Source organism: Homo sapiens, chromosome 15 (genome assembly GCF_000001405.40).
Source record: "Homo sapiens chromosome 15, GRCh38.p14 Primary Assembly".
NCBI classification, from domain to species: Eukaryota; Metazoa; Chordata; class Mammalia; order Primates; family Hominidae; genus Homo; species Homo sapiens.
In genome coordinates, this window is record NC_000015.10 from 41,199,382 (window position 1) to 41,218,061 (window position 18,680).

The 18,680-nt window shown below is 44.0% G+C and overlaps 1 protein-coding gene across 12 annotated transcripts in view; it reads right to left on the reverse strand.

Annotated features, from left to right (window-relative positions):
- The window catches only part of EXD1 (exonuclease 3'-5' domain containing 1), a 48,030-nt gene that overhangs the window by 16,654 nt on the left and 12,696 nt on the right, over window positions 1–18,680 (reverse strand). For 7 of the 12 annotated variants that reach the window (XM_047432210.1, XM_011521301.3, XM_011521298.3 and 4 more), the window contains 4 exons: window positions 17,716–17,773; window positions 17,287–17,414; window positions 16,394–16,452; window positions 10,120–10,206 (listed from right to left, as the gene is read on the reverse strand). In XM_047432210.1, coding sequence (XP_047288166.1) covers window positions 10,120–10,206; window positions 16,394–16,452; window positions 17,287–17,414; window positions 17,716–17,773 — 332 coding nt within the window. Of the gene's footprint in view, window positions 1–5,697; window positions 5,805–10,119; window positions 10,207–16,393; window positions 16,453–17,286; window positions 17,420–17,715; window positions 17,774–18,680 lie in introns of those variants that run through there. The other 5 variants (XM_047432211.1, XM_017021971.2, XM_017021970.2 and 2 more) reach the window with 2 other exon arrangements.

Here is an 18,680-nt window from a genome sequence, read left to right on the forward strand (position 1 = left end):
TGGGCCCCTTTTTTTTCTTGTATTAATTTTTAAGAGTCTTTCAAAAAAAAAAACACAAAAGGCCTAAATTCACAGCACCTCTGGATAGCTGAGCAGGTTCCTGGAGGGGGTGGGTGGTGCACCCCTTCCCCCATACCTTGCCCTATATATCTCTTCCATCTAAGAGTTTATCTGTATCCTTTGTTTCATATACATATACATATAATTTGTTTTATATATATTATATATTATATATATTGTGTTAGGTGTTACATATATAAAATATATATCATATATATGATATACACATTATATATATCATATATATGAGATATATTACATATATCATATATATGATATATTATATATGATATATATGTCATATATTATATATGATACATATATGATATATATGTCATATATTATATAATGTCATATATATTATATATGTCATATATAGATATATGTCAATATATGATATATATAATATGTCATATATATGATCTGTATATATATCATATATATATGATATATATAATATATATACAGATATATTTTTTTGAGACAGAGTCTGGCTCTGTCACCCAGGCTGGAGTACAGTGGCACCATATCAGCTCACTGCAACCTCTGCCTTCTGGCTTCAAGTGATTCTCCTGCCTCAGCCTCCCAAGTAGCTGGGACTACAGGCGTGCAACACTACACTTGGCTAATTTTTTTGTATTTTGTTTAGAGATAGGGTTTGTTTCACCATGTTGCCCAGGTTAGTCTCCAACTCCGGAGCTCAAGTGATCCGCCTGCCTCGGCCTCCCTAAGCGCTAGAAGTACATGTGTGAGCCACCACACCTGGACTTGTAATATTCTTTAAAATAATAAATGAGTAGGCCGAGTGCAGTGGCTCATGCCTGTAATCTTAGCACCTTGGGAGGCTGAGGTGGGTGGATCACCTGAGGTCAGCTGTTCGAGACCAGCCTGACCAATATGACAAAATCCTATCTCTACTAAAAATACAAAAATTAGTTGGGCGTGGTGGTGTGCACCTGTAGTCCCAGCTAGTCGGGAGGCTGAGACAGGAGAACTGCTTGAGCCTGGAAGGCAGAGGTTGCAGTGAGCTGAGATACTCGCCACTGCACTCCAGCCTGAGCAAGAAAGAGCAAGACTCTGTCTCAAAATAATGATAATAATAAATGAGTAAATGTAAGTAAAATGTTTCTCTGAGTTCTGTGAGCTGCTCTAGCAAATTAACTGAACCAGAAAAGGGAGGTCATGGGGACTCCAACTTATAGTTGGTTGGTCAGAAGCACAGGTCACAAGCTGTGCTTGTGAATGGCACCTGAAGTTGAGGGCAGTCTTGTGGGACTGAGCCCTCAATCTGTGGGGTCTGACACTATTTCCAGGTAAACAGTCTCAGAATTGAATTGGAGGACACTAAGCTGGTGTATACTGGAGAGTAGCAGTAGAATTGTTTTGCTTCATGTGTGAGGAAACAACCCCCACACATCTGGGGTGACAGAATGTTCTATTTTTTTTTTTTTGAGATGGAGTCTTGCTCTGTCGCCAGGCTGAAGTGCAGTGGTGTGATCTCGGCTCACTGCAACCTCCACCTCCCAGGTTCCAGCAATTCTCCTGCCTTAGCCTCCCAAGTAGTTGGGGTTACAGGTACGTGCCACCACACCCGGCTAATTTTTGTATTTTTAGTAGAGACAGGGTTTCACCATGTTGGCCAGGCTGGTCTCAAGCTCCTAACCTCAGGTGATCTGCCTGCCTCAGACTCCCAAAGGGCTGGGATTACAGGCATGAGCCACTGTGCCTGGCCAGAATGTTCTGTGTTGAGTAGAAAGTATAGGAAAAAAGAGCACTTTTAGTTTTTTTCCCTATAAGTCTAATACTCCAGGGAACACCATTTTAAGGTGAATGAACAGTATCTCATTATTAACAACTGGAAATGCTATTTCTCTGAGTTCCTTAATATGCATGATTGTTAGGTGTTACACAAAATTATTCATAAGAGAAGATCCCTACCCTCTAGCAATTTAAAACAGGCAACAAATACACTGGCACAAATGGTAAGATGTCAAATATTCAATGCTGCTTACAGATCAATTTTATATAATTTAAGAATTCTAGATTTTTTTTTTTTTTTTTTTTTTGAGACAGAGTCTCGCTGTGTCACCCAGGCTGGAGTGCAGTGGTGCGATCTCGGCTCACTGCAACCTCCATCTCCTAGGTTCAAGCAATTCTCCTGTCTCAGCCTCCCGAGTAGCTGGGACTACAGGTGCCCACCACCATGCCTGGTTATTTTTCATATTTTTAGTAGAGACAGGGTTTCACCATATTGGCCAGGCTGGTCTCAAATCCCTGACCTCGTGATCCGCCTGCCTCGGCCTTCCAAAGTGCTTGGATTAGAGGCCTGAGTCACCGTGCCCAGCTAAGATTGCTTCTAATCACAAAAATCACAAAAGCAGCATAGCTGGATGATCTACTAAGAGAGTAAAGACAAAAAACATCCAAACGCCAGGCGTGGTGTGGCTCATGTCTATATCTCAGCATATTGGGAGGCTGAGGTGGGAGGATCGCTTAAGGCCAGGAGTTCAAGACTAGCTGGGGCAACAAAGCAAGACCCCTGTCTGTACAAAAAACAAAAGAATTTTAAATTTAAAACAAAACATCCAAATGGGTCTAGAAAGCTAGGCATATGACAGTGTGATGCCACTTCTGTCATTTCAGGAGCTGAACTATGTTATAGCTACAATTGCCAGACCTACCTAGCACCCATTCTCAGAACTTTCATTATATATATATATATATATTTTTTTTAATTTAATTTTATTTTTTGAGACAGAGTCTCACTCTGTCGCCCAGGCTGGATTGCAGTGGCGTGATCTCGGCTCACTGCAGCCTCTGCCTCCCGGGTTCAAGTAATTCTCGTGCCTCAGCCTCCTGAGTAGCTGGGATTAATAGGCACTTGCCACCAGGTCCAGCTAATTTTTTGTATTTTTAGTAGAAACAGGGTTTTGCCATGTTGCCCAGGCTGGCCTTGAACTCTTGAGCTCAGGTGATCTACCCGCCTCAGCCTCCCAAAGTGCTAGGATTACAGGTGTGAGCCACCGCACCCAGCATATATATATATTTGAGATGGTCTTGCTCTGTCACACAGGCTGAAATGCAGTGGCGCAGCCATAGCTTATTGCAGGCTAAAACTAACTCCTGGGGGCTCAAGAGATCCTCCCTCCTCAGCCTCCTGAGTACCTGGGATTATATTATATGCTCAGCTAATGTTTTTGTTTTTTGTAGAGACGGGGTTTCACTAAGTTGCTCAGGCTGGTCTCCAACTCCTGGCTTCAAGCAATCCTCCCACTTCAGCCTCCCAAAGTATTGGAATTACAGACATTAGCCACCACACCACAAAAATTAGCCAGGCCCAGTGGTGTGTGCCTGTAGCCCCAGCTACTGAGGAGGCTGAGGCGCGAGAATCGCTGGAACTCAGGAGGCAGAGTTTGCAGTTAGCTGAGATTGTGCCACTGCACTCCAGCCTAGGTGACAGAGCAAGACTCTGTCTCAAAAAAAAAAAAAAAAAAGCGAACCCCTGATGTTTTCCCCTGCTACTTTAATTATAAAAATTGAGTAGATGCAGTATAAAAGTTTGGAAAATAATTATCTGCTGTACTATAAACTATGGTGAAGATACCTGACCAGAGATAAAGATTAAATATTTAAATAATTTAAAGTTAAGACATGCTGTGGGAAATACTGACAGAAAGAAAGCAGATTAGGCAAAACAAAACAATAAAAATAAAGGTTTAAGAATTAAAGGTGCCAGATACTAAGAAAAGTGAGGAGCTGGAAACAGGGGAATGGGCTGAAGGTTTATATGAGGAGACGTAACCCCCCAAGTAATCCTCCCCCATTCCTCTCCCACTGAGGACAGATCATGTATTCTCTGGATAAATCTAACCAGAGAGGCTCTGGGGTTGACAATGTTTAGACAGAAGAGGGTGGAAGTTCAGTAGTGGCCTGAAAAATGAAAATCTGCACACTGAATTGTGGGCTTCTAGCCCTCTTCCCTTTGTTGAGACTCAGAAAATAATACCCCAAAGCAAAGAAAGGCCTCTGAAATAGCCTCAGAAGTAAAAGTTTTTCTCTGACCTTCAGCCCTGCTGTCTCTTGGTCCCATTATTTCCTGAAGCTAGCCATAGAAACTAGAATCATTCTCCCTGAAGGCGATCACGGAAACCAGAACCCAGTTTCCCCAAAGCCAGCCATAAAACCTAAAAATAGGCCAGGTGTGGTGGCTCACACCTGTAATCCTAGCACTTTGAGAGACCGAGGTGGGTGGATCACTTGAGTTCAGGAGTTCGACACCAGCCTGCCCAACATGGTGAAACTCCGTCTCTACCAAAAATATAAACATTAGCCGGGCGTGGTGGCACACTCCTGTAATCCAAGGTACTTGGGAGCCTGAGACAGGAGAATCGCTTGAAACCAGGAGGTGGAGGCTGCAGTGAGCCAAGATCGTGCCATTGCACTCCAGCCTGGGCAAAAGAGCAAGACTTCTCCTCAAAAAAAAAAAAAAAAAAAAAAAAAAAACCCTAAAAATATTACTCTAGGCCAGGTGCGGTGGCTCACACCTGTAATCCCAGCACTTTGGGAGGCCAAGGAAGGAGGATCACTTGAGCTCAGGAGTTTGAGACCAGCCTGGGCAACACAGTGCAACCCCATCTCTACTAAAATACAAAAAAAATTAGCCAGGCATGGTGGCATGCACTTGTAGTCCCAGCTACTCGGGAGGCTGAGGCAGGAGAATTGCTTGAACCTGGGAGGCGGAGGTTGCAGTGAGCCGAGATCATGCCACTGCACCCCAGCCTGGGCGACACAGCAAGACTCTGTCTCAAAAAAAAAAAAAAAAAAATCAGCCAGGCACGGTGGCCCACGCCTGTAATCCCAGCACTTTGGGAGGTCAGGGCAGTTGGATCACCTGAGGTTGGGAGTTCAAGACCAGCCTGGCCAACATGGTGAAACCCTGTCTCTACTAAAAATGCAAAAATTAGCCGGGCATGGTGGTGGGCACCTATAATCCCAGCTACTGGGGAGGCTGAGGCAGGAGAATCGCTGGAACCCAGGAGATGGAGGCTGCAGTGAGCCAAGATGGTGCCACTGCACTCCAGCCTTGGCAACAGAGCAAGATTCCATCTCAAAAACAAAAAACAAACAAAAATTAGCCAGGTGTGGTAGTATGCACCTATAGTCCCAAGTAGTCCAGCTACTTGGGAGGCTGGGGCAGGAGGATCTCTTGAGCCCGGGAGTTCAAGGCTGAAGTGAGCCATGATGGAGCCACTATACTCCAGCCTGGGCAACAGAGACTCCATCTCAAAAAATGTATGTACTTGTATATATACATACACATATATATATACACATATACACATACACACACATATAGATAAAACTTTCCCTCTGCCTCTGTATGTAAAAAAGGGCCATAAAAATGATCTGACCCACCTTATTTGACAGTAGGTCATAGATCCCCATTCTATAGAGGGTCCCGCTACATACCAGGAAAGAAGAAATACATGCTATGAGAGCCAAGACGAATCTAGACAGACAGGCCTTGCTGGGTTTCCCAGTCAGTCTATTAACATTAGATCATATCTTTTTGTTCAATCATATTTCTCCATAGCTGTCCATACTTTGTTGAACCTAAACATAAAAATGGACAATTACCCGTGTATCTTTGAGTCTTCGTTCTGAAGGTTCTCATGTACGCGTTAAATTTGTTGTGTCTTTTCTCCTCTTAATCTGCCTTTTTGTGAGTTAAGTTTTCAGCAAACCTACAGAAGGCAAAGGGAAAATTTTCCCTTGGCCCCTGCATCTTGCAGCTTCCAGGCTTGAGAAAACAGCCTGCATTGGAACAGGAGGGTAGAGGGCTCCAGGAGAGATGACTTCAAGACAAAAATGCAGCATAGGTTGGCAGAATCGTGTTTTTGTTTGTTTGTTTGTTTTTTGAGACAGGGTCTCACTCTCACATGCATGAGAAACCATGCTTGGCCCTAGCCCACTAAATTTAAGCATGTGAAAAAACTGTATGGCATCCTTAAAGATATGGAACAGCTTAGTCATAGGTATAAAGAAAACAAAGTTGGTTGGGTGCAGTGGCTCATGCCTGTAATCCCAGCAATTTGGAAGGCTGAGCTGGGTAGATTGCTTGAGTCTGGGAGTTTGAGACCAGCCTGGGCAACATGGTGAAACCCTGTCTCCACAAAAAATACAAAAAGTTAGCTATCACGGTGGGATGTGCCTGTAGTCCCATTTGGGCAACAGAGTGAGACCCCGTCTCAAAAAAGTAAGGAAGGAGGGAAGGAGAGAAGGAGGGAAGAGAGGAAGGGAGGGAGGGAGGGAGGAATAAAATGAGGCAATTACTAACTCTATGTAAAACAAAAAGTTGTTCAAGAAGAGAAACGATTCTCCTTGACTCAGCAGAGAGTTATCATTACAGTCGTAATAACATATAGACTAAATTTGGTCTTTTTTTTTTTTTTTTTTTGAGATGGAGTCTCATTTGTGGCCCAAGCTGGAGTGCAGGGGCATGATCTTGGCTCACTGCAACCTCCACTTCTCAAGTTCAAGCAATTCTCCTGCCTCAGCCTCCCATAAATTCTGAATTCTGTCTTAGTAAAAAATTGTGACATAACTAAGTTGGAAAGACCTAGGGAAGAGTGGGTGCAATAAAGGAGCAAAATCTTTATTTATCACAATAAAATTGAATAGATTATGTGTAAAACTGATAAATCAAGAGAAAGCAATAAGCATGTTATTAGAAACAGGAAAATCCGGGCCAGGGGTGGTGGCTCACGCCTGTAATCCCAGCACTTTGGGAAGCCAAGGCAGGCAGATCACTTGAGGTTAGAAGTTCAAGACCAGCCTGGCCAACATGGTAAAATCCTGTCTCTACTAAAAATACAATAATTAGCCAGGCGTAGAGGTGAGTGCCTGTAATTCCAGCTACTTGGGAGGCTGAGGCAGGAGAATACCTTGAACCTGAGAGGCAGAGATGCAGTACAGTGAGCCAAGAGATTGCACCACTGCACTCCAGCCTGGGCAACAGAGAGACCCTGTCTCGAAAAAAAAAAAAAAAAAAAGAAACAGGAAAATAGCAGAAACTACATTTCAATGTGTTAAAAGTAGTTGACTCCCCTAATGTTTGTCAAAGTATTTTGTAAACTGTAAAGTACTGCACAAATATAACAATCCTGTTATTCAATTCTTTTTTTTTTTTTTTTTTTTTGAGAAGGAGTCTCGCTTTGTTGCCCAGGTTGGAGTGCAGTGGCACAATCTCGGCTCACTGAAACCTCCTCCTCCCAGGTCCAAGTGATCCGCCTGCCTCAGCACCATTAGTAGCTAGGATTATAGGCATGCGCCACCACGCCTGGCTAATTTTTGTATTTTTAGTAGAGGCGGGGTTTCACCACGTTGGCCAGGCTAGTCTCAAACCCCTGACCTTGTGATCTGCCCACCGTAGCCTCCCAAAGTGCTGGGATTACAGGCATGAGCCACTGTGCCTGCCCTATTCAACTCTTTTTTTTTTTTTTTTTTTTTTTTTAAGTAGTGCCTCTGCGCCAGGTGTGGTGGCTCACACCCAGCACTTTGGGAGGCCGAGGCGGGCAGATCACGAGGTAAGGAGTTCGAGACCAGCCTGGCCAACGTGGTGAAACCCCGTCTCTACTAAAAATACAAAAATTACCCGAGCGTGGTGGCGGGAGCCTGTAGTCCCAGCTACTCGGGAGGCTGAGGCAGGAGAATCGCTTGAACCTAGGAGGCAGAGGTTGCAGTGAGCTGAGATTGTGCCATTGCACTCTAGCCTGGGCGACAGAGTGAAACTCCGTCTCAAAAAAAAGTAGTGCCTCTGGCAGGGTGTGGTGGCTCATGCCTGTAATCCCAGCACTATGGGAGGCCAAGGCGGGTGGATCACCTGAGGTCGGGAGTTCGAGACCAGCCTGACCAAAATGGAGAAACCCTGTCTCTACTAAAAATACATTAGCTGGGAGTGGTGGCACATGCCTGTAATCTCGGCTACTCGGGAGAGGCTGAGGCAGGAGAATTTCTTGAACCCGGGAGGTGGAGGTTGTGGTGAGCCGAGATCGTGACACTACACTCCAGCCTCCAGGCGACAAGAGCAAAATTTCATCTCAAAAAAAAAATAATAAAAAAAATAAACGTAGTGCCTCTGAAGTGGAGTGGAGGGTTTTTTTTTCTCTTAAATTTGATTTTTTTCTTTTGCTTTTAATACAAGTGCACGTGATGCTTTTAGTTAAAAAATTAAACACACAAGCCCAAGGATCTGGCTGGGGAAAACCTGTCCATTAATTTGCTTCCAGTTGCAGAAAGGACAGCTGTAGTCCAGATCCCAGCACTTTGGGAGGTTGAGGTGGGCAGATCACCTGAGGCCAGGAATTCGAGACAAGCCTGGCCAACATGGTGAAACCCCATCTCTACTAAAAAGACAAAAATTAGCCAGGCATGTTGGCTCATGCCTGTAATCCCAGCTACTCAGGAGGCTGAGGCATAAGAATTGCTTGAACCTGGGAGGCGGCGGTTGTAGTGAGCCAAGATTGTGTCACTGCACTCCAGCCCATGCAACAGAGCGAGACCCTGCCTCAAAAAAAAAAAAAAAGAAAGAGAGAAAACAAAAAGAAAGGACAGCTGTAGACAACTGCATGTTCCTCTGATACCCAGAAAACCAAAGGGGACAATTTAGGAAATAACCTAGAACTGCCCAGACCTGTGTTACCAGGAAGTCTACTCTCTTTTGTTTTGGTAGATGGAAGTTTAGGGTTGTTTTAAGTAATTTGTATTTGTGCTGCTAATTCAAACCTAGTCATCTAAAAGCTAAGCTTGGCTAGCTGCAGTGGCTCATGCCTGTAACCCCAGCACTTTGCGGTTAGGCTGACTCAGAAGGATTGCTTGAGACCAGGAGTTTGAGACCAGCCTGGACAATATAGGGAGAACTCATCTCTGAAAAAAAAAAAAAAAAAAAAAAAAGTAAAGGAAGAGGGACCCAAAAGCTATCCATCCTCTAGCTATTCTTCAAGGCTAACTACAAACTTTTAAAAAATATTGGCCAGGGGTGGTGGCTCACGTCTGTAATCCTAGTACTTTGGGAGGCCGAGGTGGGTGGATCACTTGAGATCAGGAGTTTGTGACCAGCCTGGCCAACATGGTGAAACCCCGTCTCTACTAAAAACACAAAATTAGCCAGGTGTGGTGGCGCATGCCTATAGTCCCAGCTACCCAGGAGGCTGAGGCAGGAGAACCGCTTGAACCCAGGAGGCGGAGGTTGCAGCGAGCCGAGATGCACCACTGCACCCCAGCCTGGTGACAGAGCAAGACTTTGTCTCAAAATAATAATAATAATAGTAATAATAATAGAGACTCTCATTTAATATCTCCCAGGTCCAGGGAAACTAAAATGATGTGGTGAGAAACCTGCTGTGGAAAGCTACCACCCCAGAATGAAAAGAGACGACACTCTTCATAGAACTAAGGTGATAGAACAGAACTGGGAAAGACCTCCAGCAGAGCCCGAGAGACAGCACTAATGGCTTTAACAGCGAACCTATTCTTGCTACTGAGCTTAAAAAAAAAAACAAAGTGAATCTATAAGGAGACAGAAGCTCTCTCCTTTTGAAAAGAATAAAGTGAGTACCAGGAGAAGGAAGAACATTCCAACAAGTTATGCAACAATGACACTAGGGTGACAGAAAGAAGACAATTAATAAATCTACCAGTGAGCCAGGTGCAGTGGCCTATCCCTGTAATCCCAGTGACTAGGGGGGCTAAAGCAAGAGGATTACATGAGGCCAGGAGTTTGAGATCAGCCTGGGCAACACAGCAAGACCCCATCTCAAAAAAACAAAGCTGGGTGTGGTGACATGCATCTGTAGTCCCAGCTACTCAGGAGGCTAAAGTGAGGATAGACAGCATGAGCCCAGGAGTTCAATGCTGCAGTGATCTATGATCTGCACTGTGGCCTCAGTGACAGAGTGAGATCCCATCTCTAAAATACAGTTTTCAAAAAGAAGGAAAGAAAAAAATCTACCAGTGGCTCTATAATTACTTCAAAATAAAAAGTTTTCAAAAATCTTTCACCTGCAGCCAGCACAGTTTGCCATGGCGACATACATTCGCTCCTTCTGCTGCCACACTCAGGACATTCTGCTTCTTGATATGGAGTATCTGGTAAGAAAAAGAAGGAAAGGAAAAACTTTCAGGGAATAAATGTTGGCATGATAACATCATGATTGGCACAAATACAATGGTCAGCAGTAAACAAAGTGCATCATCTTTGTTAAACTTACAAAATTTGATTAATCCAAAACAGTCTGTTTTACACATGCAAATAAATCAGCACTGAATACTTCTGATTCTTTTTTTTTGTTTTAGCAAAAGTGTTCCACAGCTGGAAAATAAATCACTCAGACCCCAAATGACAATAAGAGTTGAGAACTCAGACACCTTTTGTTACCACTGATGCTACAGAGAAAGAATCATAATCTGTTTTTATATTTTAAATTGAGACAGAGTTTCACTCTTGTTGCTAGGCTGGAGTGCAATGGCACGATCTTGACTTGCAACCTCCACCTCTCAGTGGATCAAGAGAATCAAGTGATTCTCTTCCCTCAACCTCCCAAGTAGCTGGGATTACAGGCATGCACCACCACGCCCAGCTAATTTTGTATTTTTAGTAATGACAGGGTGTCACTATGTTGGTCAGGCTGGTCTCAAACTCCTGACCTCAAGTGATCTACCTGCCTCGGCCTCCCAAAGTGCTGGGATTACAGGTGTGAGCTACCAAGCCTGGCCCTGAATTATAATCTTTAAGACAAGATTCCTCATGCAAACTATGGCATGCCCTAACACAGGGCAATTTACCACAACTGAAAGGAATATAGGTGGTGGCTAAGTCTCAGAGTATCCACTGCTCAGAAAGACAGAAACAAGGACTCTTCAGGTCCCTTAAAGCCTCGGATTCACTGAATTACTCAAAACTGAAATAGTGGCTGGGCGCAGTGGCTCATGCCTATAATCCCAGCACTTTGGGAGGCTGAGGAAGGAGGATCGTTTGAGCCCAAGGGTTTCAGACCAGACTGGGCAAAACAGTGTCTGTACAAAAAATACAAAAAATTATCCAGGCATGGTGGTGCACACCTGCAGTGTAGCCCCAGCTACTCAGGAGGCTAAAGTGGGAGGATCACTTGAGCCTGGGAGGCTGAGGCTGCAGTGAGCCATGATGATGCACTTCAGCCTGTGTAAAAAAAAAAACACAAAACACTGAAATAGTGGTACCCCAGGTACACACTCTTGTCCTTTGATTATCTATAATCTTACCCTATTTCATTATACAATTCTATAATCCTTAATCCATAATTCATAAAAATATTTGCATGATAAAAGATTCTCCCCATTTTATAGGTAGTTCAATTATTCAATAACAGAAAGGCATAGTAATTTACACTAGCAACATATCTCCCTTTAGAGAGCATAAAGTGTTCTCAATTCTGAGTATCTCTCATCAATGATGAGAAAATGGCACTGAATTTCAGCTTCATTCCCAATCAGATGGCTGCAGAACCGGCAACAAAAGCTGCATTCTCTACTGATGAGAATTCCTAATTACCTCTTCAAACTTCCAGAGCAAAAGCTTCTTTTTTTGTTTTTTGTTTTGTTTTGTTTTGTTTTTGAGACAGTCTCATGCTGTCCTCCAGGCTGGAGTGCAGATCATAGCTCACTGTGGCATGAACTCCTGGGCTCAAGCTATCCTCCTACTTTAGCTTCCTGCAGCTTCGACCTCCGGGGCTTAGCTGATCCTCTCATCTCAGCCTCCCGGGTAGCTGAAACTACAGACCTGTGCCACCATGCCCAGCTAATTTTTTGTATTTTTTGTAGGGGTGGGTTTGCCTTGTTGCCCAGGCTGGTCTGTAACTCCTGGGCTCAAGTGATCTGCCTGCCTTGGCCTCCAAAAGTGCTGGTATTACAAGACTGAGCCACCACGCCTGGCCACAAGTTCTTACCCTCATTTTTTTTTTTATTGTTGTCACGGACACTTTAAAGAATCTGTTGATACATAAATAATACTTACAACTCAATGATAAAAATAATTATTTCAACTCAATTAAAAAACAGCAAAAGGTTTGGGCAGGGTGGCTCATGCCTGTATTCCTAGCAGTGAAGGAGGCTGAGGAGGACAGATTGCTTGAGCCCAGGAGTTCGAGACCAGCCAGGGCAACATAGTGAGAAATTGTCTCTACACAAAATACAAAAATTAAGGCTGGGCGCAGTGGCTCACGCCTGTAATCCCAGTACTTTGGGAGGCCGAGGAAGACAGACTGCTTGAGTCCAGGAGTTCAAGACCAGCTTGGGGAACACAACAAGACCTCATTTCTTAAAAAAAAAAAAAAAAAAGAGCTGGGCATGGTGGTACACACCTATAGTCCAAGTTACTCAGGAGGCTGAGGTGGGAGGATTGCTAGAGATCCTAGGAGGTGGAGGTTGCAGTGAGCCAAGATCATGCCACTGCACTCCAGCCTGGGCTACTAAGCGAGACTCTGTCTCAAAAAATAAAAGGCAAAGGATCTAAATAGACATTTCTCCAAAGAAGTTATACAAACGGCTAGTAAGCTCATGGAAACATTCAACATCATTAGCCATCACAGAAATGCAAATCAAAACCACAATAAGATACCACTTCATACCCACTAGGATGGCTATACTCAAAATTACAGATAAGTGTTGGCAAGGATTTAAAGAAATTGGAACGGCTGGGCACAGTGGCTCACGCCTGTAGTCCCAGCACTTTGGGAGGCTGAGGCGGGCAGATCACGAGGTAAGGAGATCGAGAACACCCTGGCTAACACGGTGAAACCCCGTCTCTACTAAAAATGTAAAAAAAAAAAATAAGCCGGGCGTGGTGGCGGGCACCTGTAGTCCCAGCTACTCAGGAGGCTGAGGCAGGAGAATGGTGTGAACCCGGGAGGCAGAGCTTGCAGTGAGCCGAGATGGTGCCACTGCACTCCAGCCTGGGCGACAGAGCAAGACTCCGTCTCAAAAAAAAAGAAATTGGAACCCTCACAGACTGCTGGTAGAAATGTAAAATAGTGCAACAGCTTTGGAAAAAAGTCTGGCCGTTCCTCAAAAAAGTTAAACACAGAGTTACCATATGATCTAGCAATTTCACTCCTAGGTAACTATCTAAGAGAAATAAAATCATCCACACAAAAACTTGTCCATGAATGTTCATAGTAGCATTATTCACAATAACCACAAAGAAGAAACAACCCAAATGTCCATCAAATGGTGAATGGATAAATAAAATGTAGTATATCCATACAATAGAATATGATTTGGTGGCTGACTGTGGTGGCTTACACCTCTAATCCCAGCACTTTGGGAAGCCGAGGCAGGTGGATTGCTTGAGCCCAGTAGTTTGAGACCAGCTTAGGCAACATAACGAGACGTTGTCTCTACAAAAAATATAAAAGAATTAGCTAGGTGTTGTGGCACATGCCTGTAGTCCCACCTACTTGGGAGGCTAAGGTGGGAGGATTGCTTGAGCCCAGGAGGTCCAGGCTGCAGTGAACTCTGATTGTGCCACTGCACTCCAACCTGGGTGACAGAGCAAGACCCCGTCTCAAAAAAATTTTTTTTAATTTATAAGGAATATTATTTGGCAATAAAAATAAGTGAAATACTGATATAAGCTGTAATGTGGATGAACCTTGAAAACATTATGCTAAGTAAACAAAGCCTGTCAAAAAAACTACATATTTTATTATTTTATTTATTTACTTGTTTTTATTTTTATTTTTTTTGAGATAGAGTCTCACTCTGTCACCCAGGCTGGAGTGCAGTGGCACGATCTTGGCTCACTGCAACCTCTGCCTCCTGGGTTCAAGCAATTCTCCTGCCTCAGCCTCCTGAGTAGCTGGGATTACAGACACGCACCACCACACCCAGCTAATTTTTGTATTTTTAGTAGAGACGGTGTTCACCATGTTGGTCGGGCTGGTCTCAAACTCCTGACCTTGTGATTCACCCATCTCGGCCTCGCAAAGTGCTGGGATTACAGGCATGAGCCACCGTGTCCAGCCAGTTTTTGTTTTGTTTTGTTTTGTTTTGTTGTTTTTTGAGACAGAGTCTCACTCTTTCCCAGGCTGGAGTATAGTGGCATGATCTCGGCTCACTGTACCCTCCACCTCCTCCCACTCAGCCTCCCCAGTAACTGGGATTACAAGTGCCCACCACCACACCTGGCTAATTTTTGTATTTTTAGTAGAGATGGGGTTTTGCCATGTTGGTCAGGCTGTTTTAGTGGTTGCCAAGGGCTGAGGAGTGATTAGGAGTGATGGATAAGGGGTGTGGGGTTTCTTTCTGGTATACTGAAAATATTCTAAAATTTATTATGTTGCTTTACTTACAACTCTGTGACTACACTAAAAGAAAATGAGCTGTACATTTTAACTAAATAAATTGTATGGCATGTGGATTATATCTCAATAATGCTATTTTTTAATAAAAATCTTCTGTTCAGTTCAGACTTAAAAAACAACCTGTTGTTGACCATCCTGGCTAACACGGTGAAACCCCGTCTCTACTAAAAATACAAAAAATTAGCCGGGTGCAGTGGCAGGCGCCTGTAGTCCCAGCTACTCGGGAGGCTGAGGCAGGAGAATGGCGTGAACCCGGGAGGTGGAGCTTGCAGTGAGCCGAGATAGTGCCACTGCACTCCAGCCTGGGCGAAAGAGACTCCATCTCAAAAACAAAACAAAACAAAACAAAAACCTTTTGATAGCTAACTGTCCTTTTAAAAATGCATCCATGGGCCAGGGACAGTGGCTTACACCTGTAATCCCAGCACTTTGGGAGGCGGAGATAGGCAGATCACCTGAGGTCAGGAGTTTGAGACCAGCCTGGCCAACATGGCAAAACCCCATCTCTACTACTAAAAATACAAAAATTAGCTGGCGTGGTGGTGCATGCCTGTAATACCAGCTACTCAGGAGGCTGAGCCAGGAGAATCGCTTGAACCCAGGAGGCGGAGGTTGAGGTGAGCCAAGATCACCCCACCGAACTCCAGCCTGGGCCACAAGGCGAGACTCCATCTCAAAAAAAAAAAAAAATTCTGACTCTTCTCTGAAACTGCCAATGGCTTTAAGTCAAACTCAAAATCTTTACAATGTCTAGAAAGCCCTAAGTGAACTGCCTCCTGCCCCCTTCCATCTCCTACCATTCTTCTTCACTGTGGTCCTGTCACACTGACCTCCCTGCTGTTCCTCCACACAAGCCAGGAATATTTCAGCCTCAGGGCCTTTGCACTTGCTAATTCCACTTTTAAGTTCTTCACTTTTTTTTTTTTGAGATGGAGTCTCGCTCTGTCACCCAGGCTGGAGTGCAGTGGCACGATCTCGGCTCACTGCAAGCTCCGCCTCCCGAGTTCACACCATTCTCCTGACCCAGCCTGGTGAGTAGCTGGGACTACAGGCGCCTGCCAGCATGCCCGGCTATTTTTTTGTATTTTTAGTAGAGACGGGTTTTCACCGTGTTAGCCAGGATGGTCTCAATCTCCTGACCTCGTGATCCACCCGCCTCAGCCTCCCAAAGTGCTGGGATTACAGGCGTGAGCCACTGCACCCAGCCTTTAAGTTCTCCACTTTGATATCTACATGGCTCCCTTACTTACTCAGGTCTTTGTTCTAATGTCACCTCCCTAGAGATGTTTTCTCTGTCTATCCCACATAAAATAGGACCTCCTTGTCACTCTAGTCCCCATACCATGCTTTATTTTTATTCCCAGCACTTACTGCCATCTAAAATAAAAGCACTTGTTTATTGTCTTGCATTAGAATATAAGCTCCTTGAGGGCGGGAACTTTGTCTTGATTATGGTTTTACCCAAGAGCTCAGAACAGTGCCTGGCATATAGGCATATAGCAGCCACCAAATATGTTGTTGAATTAATAGGAAAAAAAATCAAAAATCTTATAATAAAGAAATTTACAGCCGAGCGTGGTGGCTCATGCCTGTAATCCCAGCACTTTGGGAGGCCGAGGCGGGTGGATCACGAGGTCAGGAGATCGAGACCATCCTGGCTAACACGGTGAAACACTGTCTTTACTAAAAATACAAAAAATTAGCCAGGCGTGGTGGCGGGCACCTGTAGTCCCAGCTACACGGGAGGCTGAGGCAGGAGAAGGGTGTGAACCTGGGAGGCGGAGCTTGCAGTGAGCCAAGATTGGTCCACTGCACTCCAACCTGGGCGATAGAGCAAGACTCCGTCTCAAAAAAAAAAAGAAAGAAAGAAATTTATGACACACAGACATGATACCTACATACAGGCAATACTAGTAATGATTGAGGACAATACTTACCGCAGCACCAAACTTCTGCTGGAATTGATTAATGACTGTGTATGTCACCTCCTCTTCCTCTACAAGACAAGGATTGCATTAGATATATTTCTCTTCCTCAGCAACAGAATAGCTTTCTCAATAATTTTGGCCACACTCATATATTCCTACTGTATTGCAACTCAAATACCCTAAAATTGCAAAACCACCCTCCCTACGTACTACTTCTCTTCCTTTTTTTTCCTCCTTAGCATTTGGCACTATTACAGTATATATTTTACTTATTTATCTAATTTAGCATCTGTTTGCTGCTCAGTAAGGGGAGGGATACCATATTTCAGAATCCCCAATGAATAAGTGTACCCCAATAATTATGAGTACACACACAGTATGTACTCAGTTATTAAATAAACAAATGAATCACAATATTTTATCTTAATTCAGAACCCAGAAGCAATGGCTCAGCTTAGGATTCCATAGAGAATCTTGATTCAGGGTTACATCAACTCTAAACAGTAAAGAGAGCCTAGTTGAATTTGACTGACCTGGTTAAAAAAAAAAAAAAGAGAGAGAGAGCCTAGAAAATTCAGAGCCTCGGCTGGGCACAGTGGCTCATGCCTTTAATCACAACACTTTAGGAGGCCAAGGCGGGCGGATCACCTGAGGTCGGGAGTTCGAGACTAGCCTGATCAACATGGAGAAACCCCGTCTCTACTAAAAATACAAAATTAGCTGGGCGTGGTGGCACATGCCTGTAATCACAGCTACTATGGAGGCAGAGGCAGGATAATTGCTTGAATCCAGGAGGTGGAGGTTGCAGTGAGCCGAGATCACGCCATTGCACTGCAGCCTGGGCAACAAGAGCGAAACTCCATCTCAAAAAAAAAAAGAAAATTCAGAGCCCCTATATTCACCTGATGGGCTGTACTTGAGGTCATTCAGCAGAGAGGTAGCTGGTGCTTCAGGGGCAGGAGAAGCAGGCTCACATACATTTAGGTCTTCAACTTTCATTTTCTCCATCCAGGTTCTTTCTGCATGTAGACTATCCTTACAAGAAACAATATTTGGGTGAACTTGTTCTTTGTTGTTGACACCAAAAACAGATTTTGCCACACATTAACGTTAAGGACAGTGGTCCTTCATTAACTAGAGGACCCATTCATCCACTGCTTACATTGACTTGAGGGCGCTATCTAACAATGGAAGAAAACACCTATATATTTCTTCTCATTTCTATTTCCTTATGCCAAGGAATTAAGCAGCTGGTGAATTAGAGTTAAGGCTTTCTACCCTAATGTGCACATTTGGAAAATATCATAATTAAGAAAATTATTCCTTCTTACCTAACAGAAGATGCTTTTGCTCTCACTGAGCCTTGTTCCACTTCATCTAGTAGTTCCACTGTAAAATAACCAAATGGCTTCCAACAGAGTTTCCAATCAGAAATCAATTAACTACTCCACTACCCACACACCCCTAGTTTAACCATGTACTGCAAACAATAATTGGAAATGACATGTTAGTCCACGGAGGCTTTTACTGGCCAGCAATAAATACAACAGAAGAGACCATCTAAAGTACCAAAGACTCTCAGTATTCTATCCCTACAAAGCTTCTTGGTTATTTAGAAGGATTAGGAACATTTCTATACATCCCCTTCACCCTTTTTGTTCTAGGGTACCTTTGTGGTCATTCAAGTTAGTTCTAGAGATTTCTTTCCCACCATCCCAATCCTAATGCACCTTCCTTCACATGGGTGCTGTTTGAGGGTTTTCCTTTTTTTTTTTTTTTTTTTGAGATGAAGTCTCGCACTGTTGCCTAGGCTGGAGTGCAGAGGTGCGACCTCAGCTCACTGTAACCTCCGCCTCCCAGGTTCAGGTGATACTCCTGCCTCAGCCTCCCAAGTCCCATGCCTGGGACTACAGGCATGCGCCACCACACACAGCTAACTTTTGTATTTTTAGTAGAGACGGGGTTTCACCATTGTGGCCAGGCTGGTCTCAATCTCTTGACCTCTTGATCCGCTCGCCTCAGCCTCCCTAAGTGCTGGGATTACAGGCGTGAGCCACCACATCTGGCCTCGTTTAGGTACTTTTCAAGCAAAAAGCCTCTATGTTTCAAAAGTCTCTTTTCTCTGTACTATCTAGAAGTATTGAATCTGGAGCAGAGAAAAGGTAAAATTGACTGAAAAATGCTGATTAGCCATTATTATCCTTCATCTTGACAATTCTTATCCAAGGTACTTTTGGGGACAACTCCTCCATGGTTGATTGGGCCACAGGACAAAGACAGAAATGACTATCCTTTG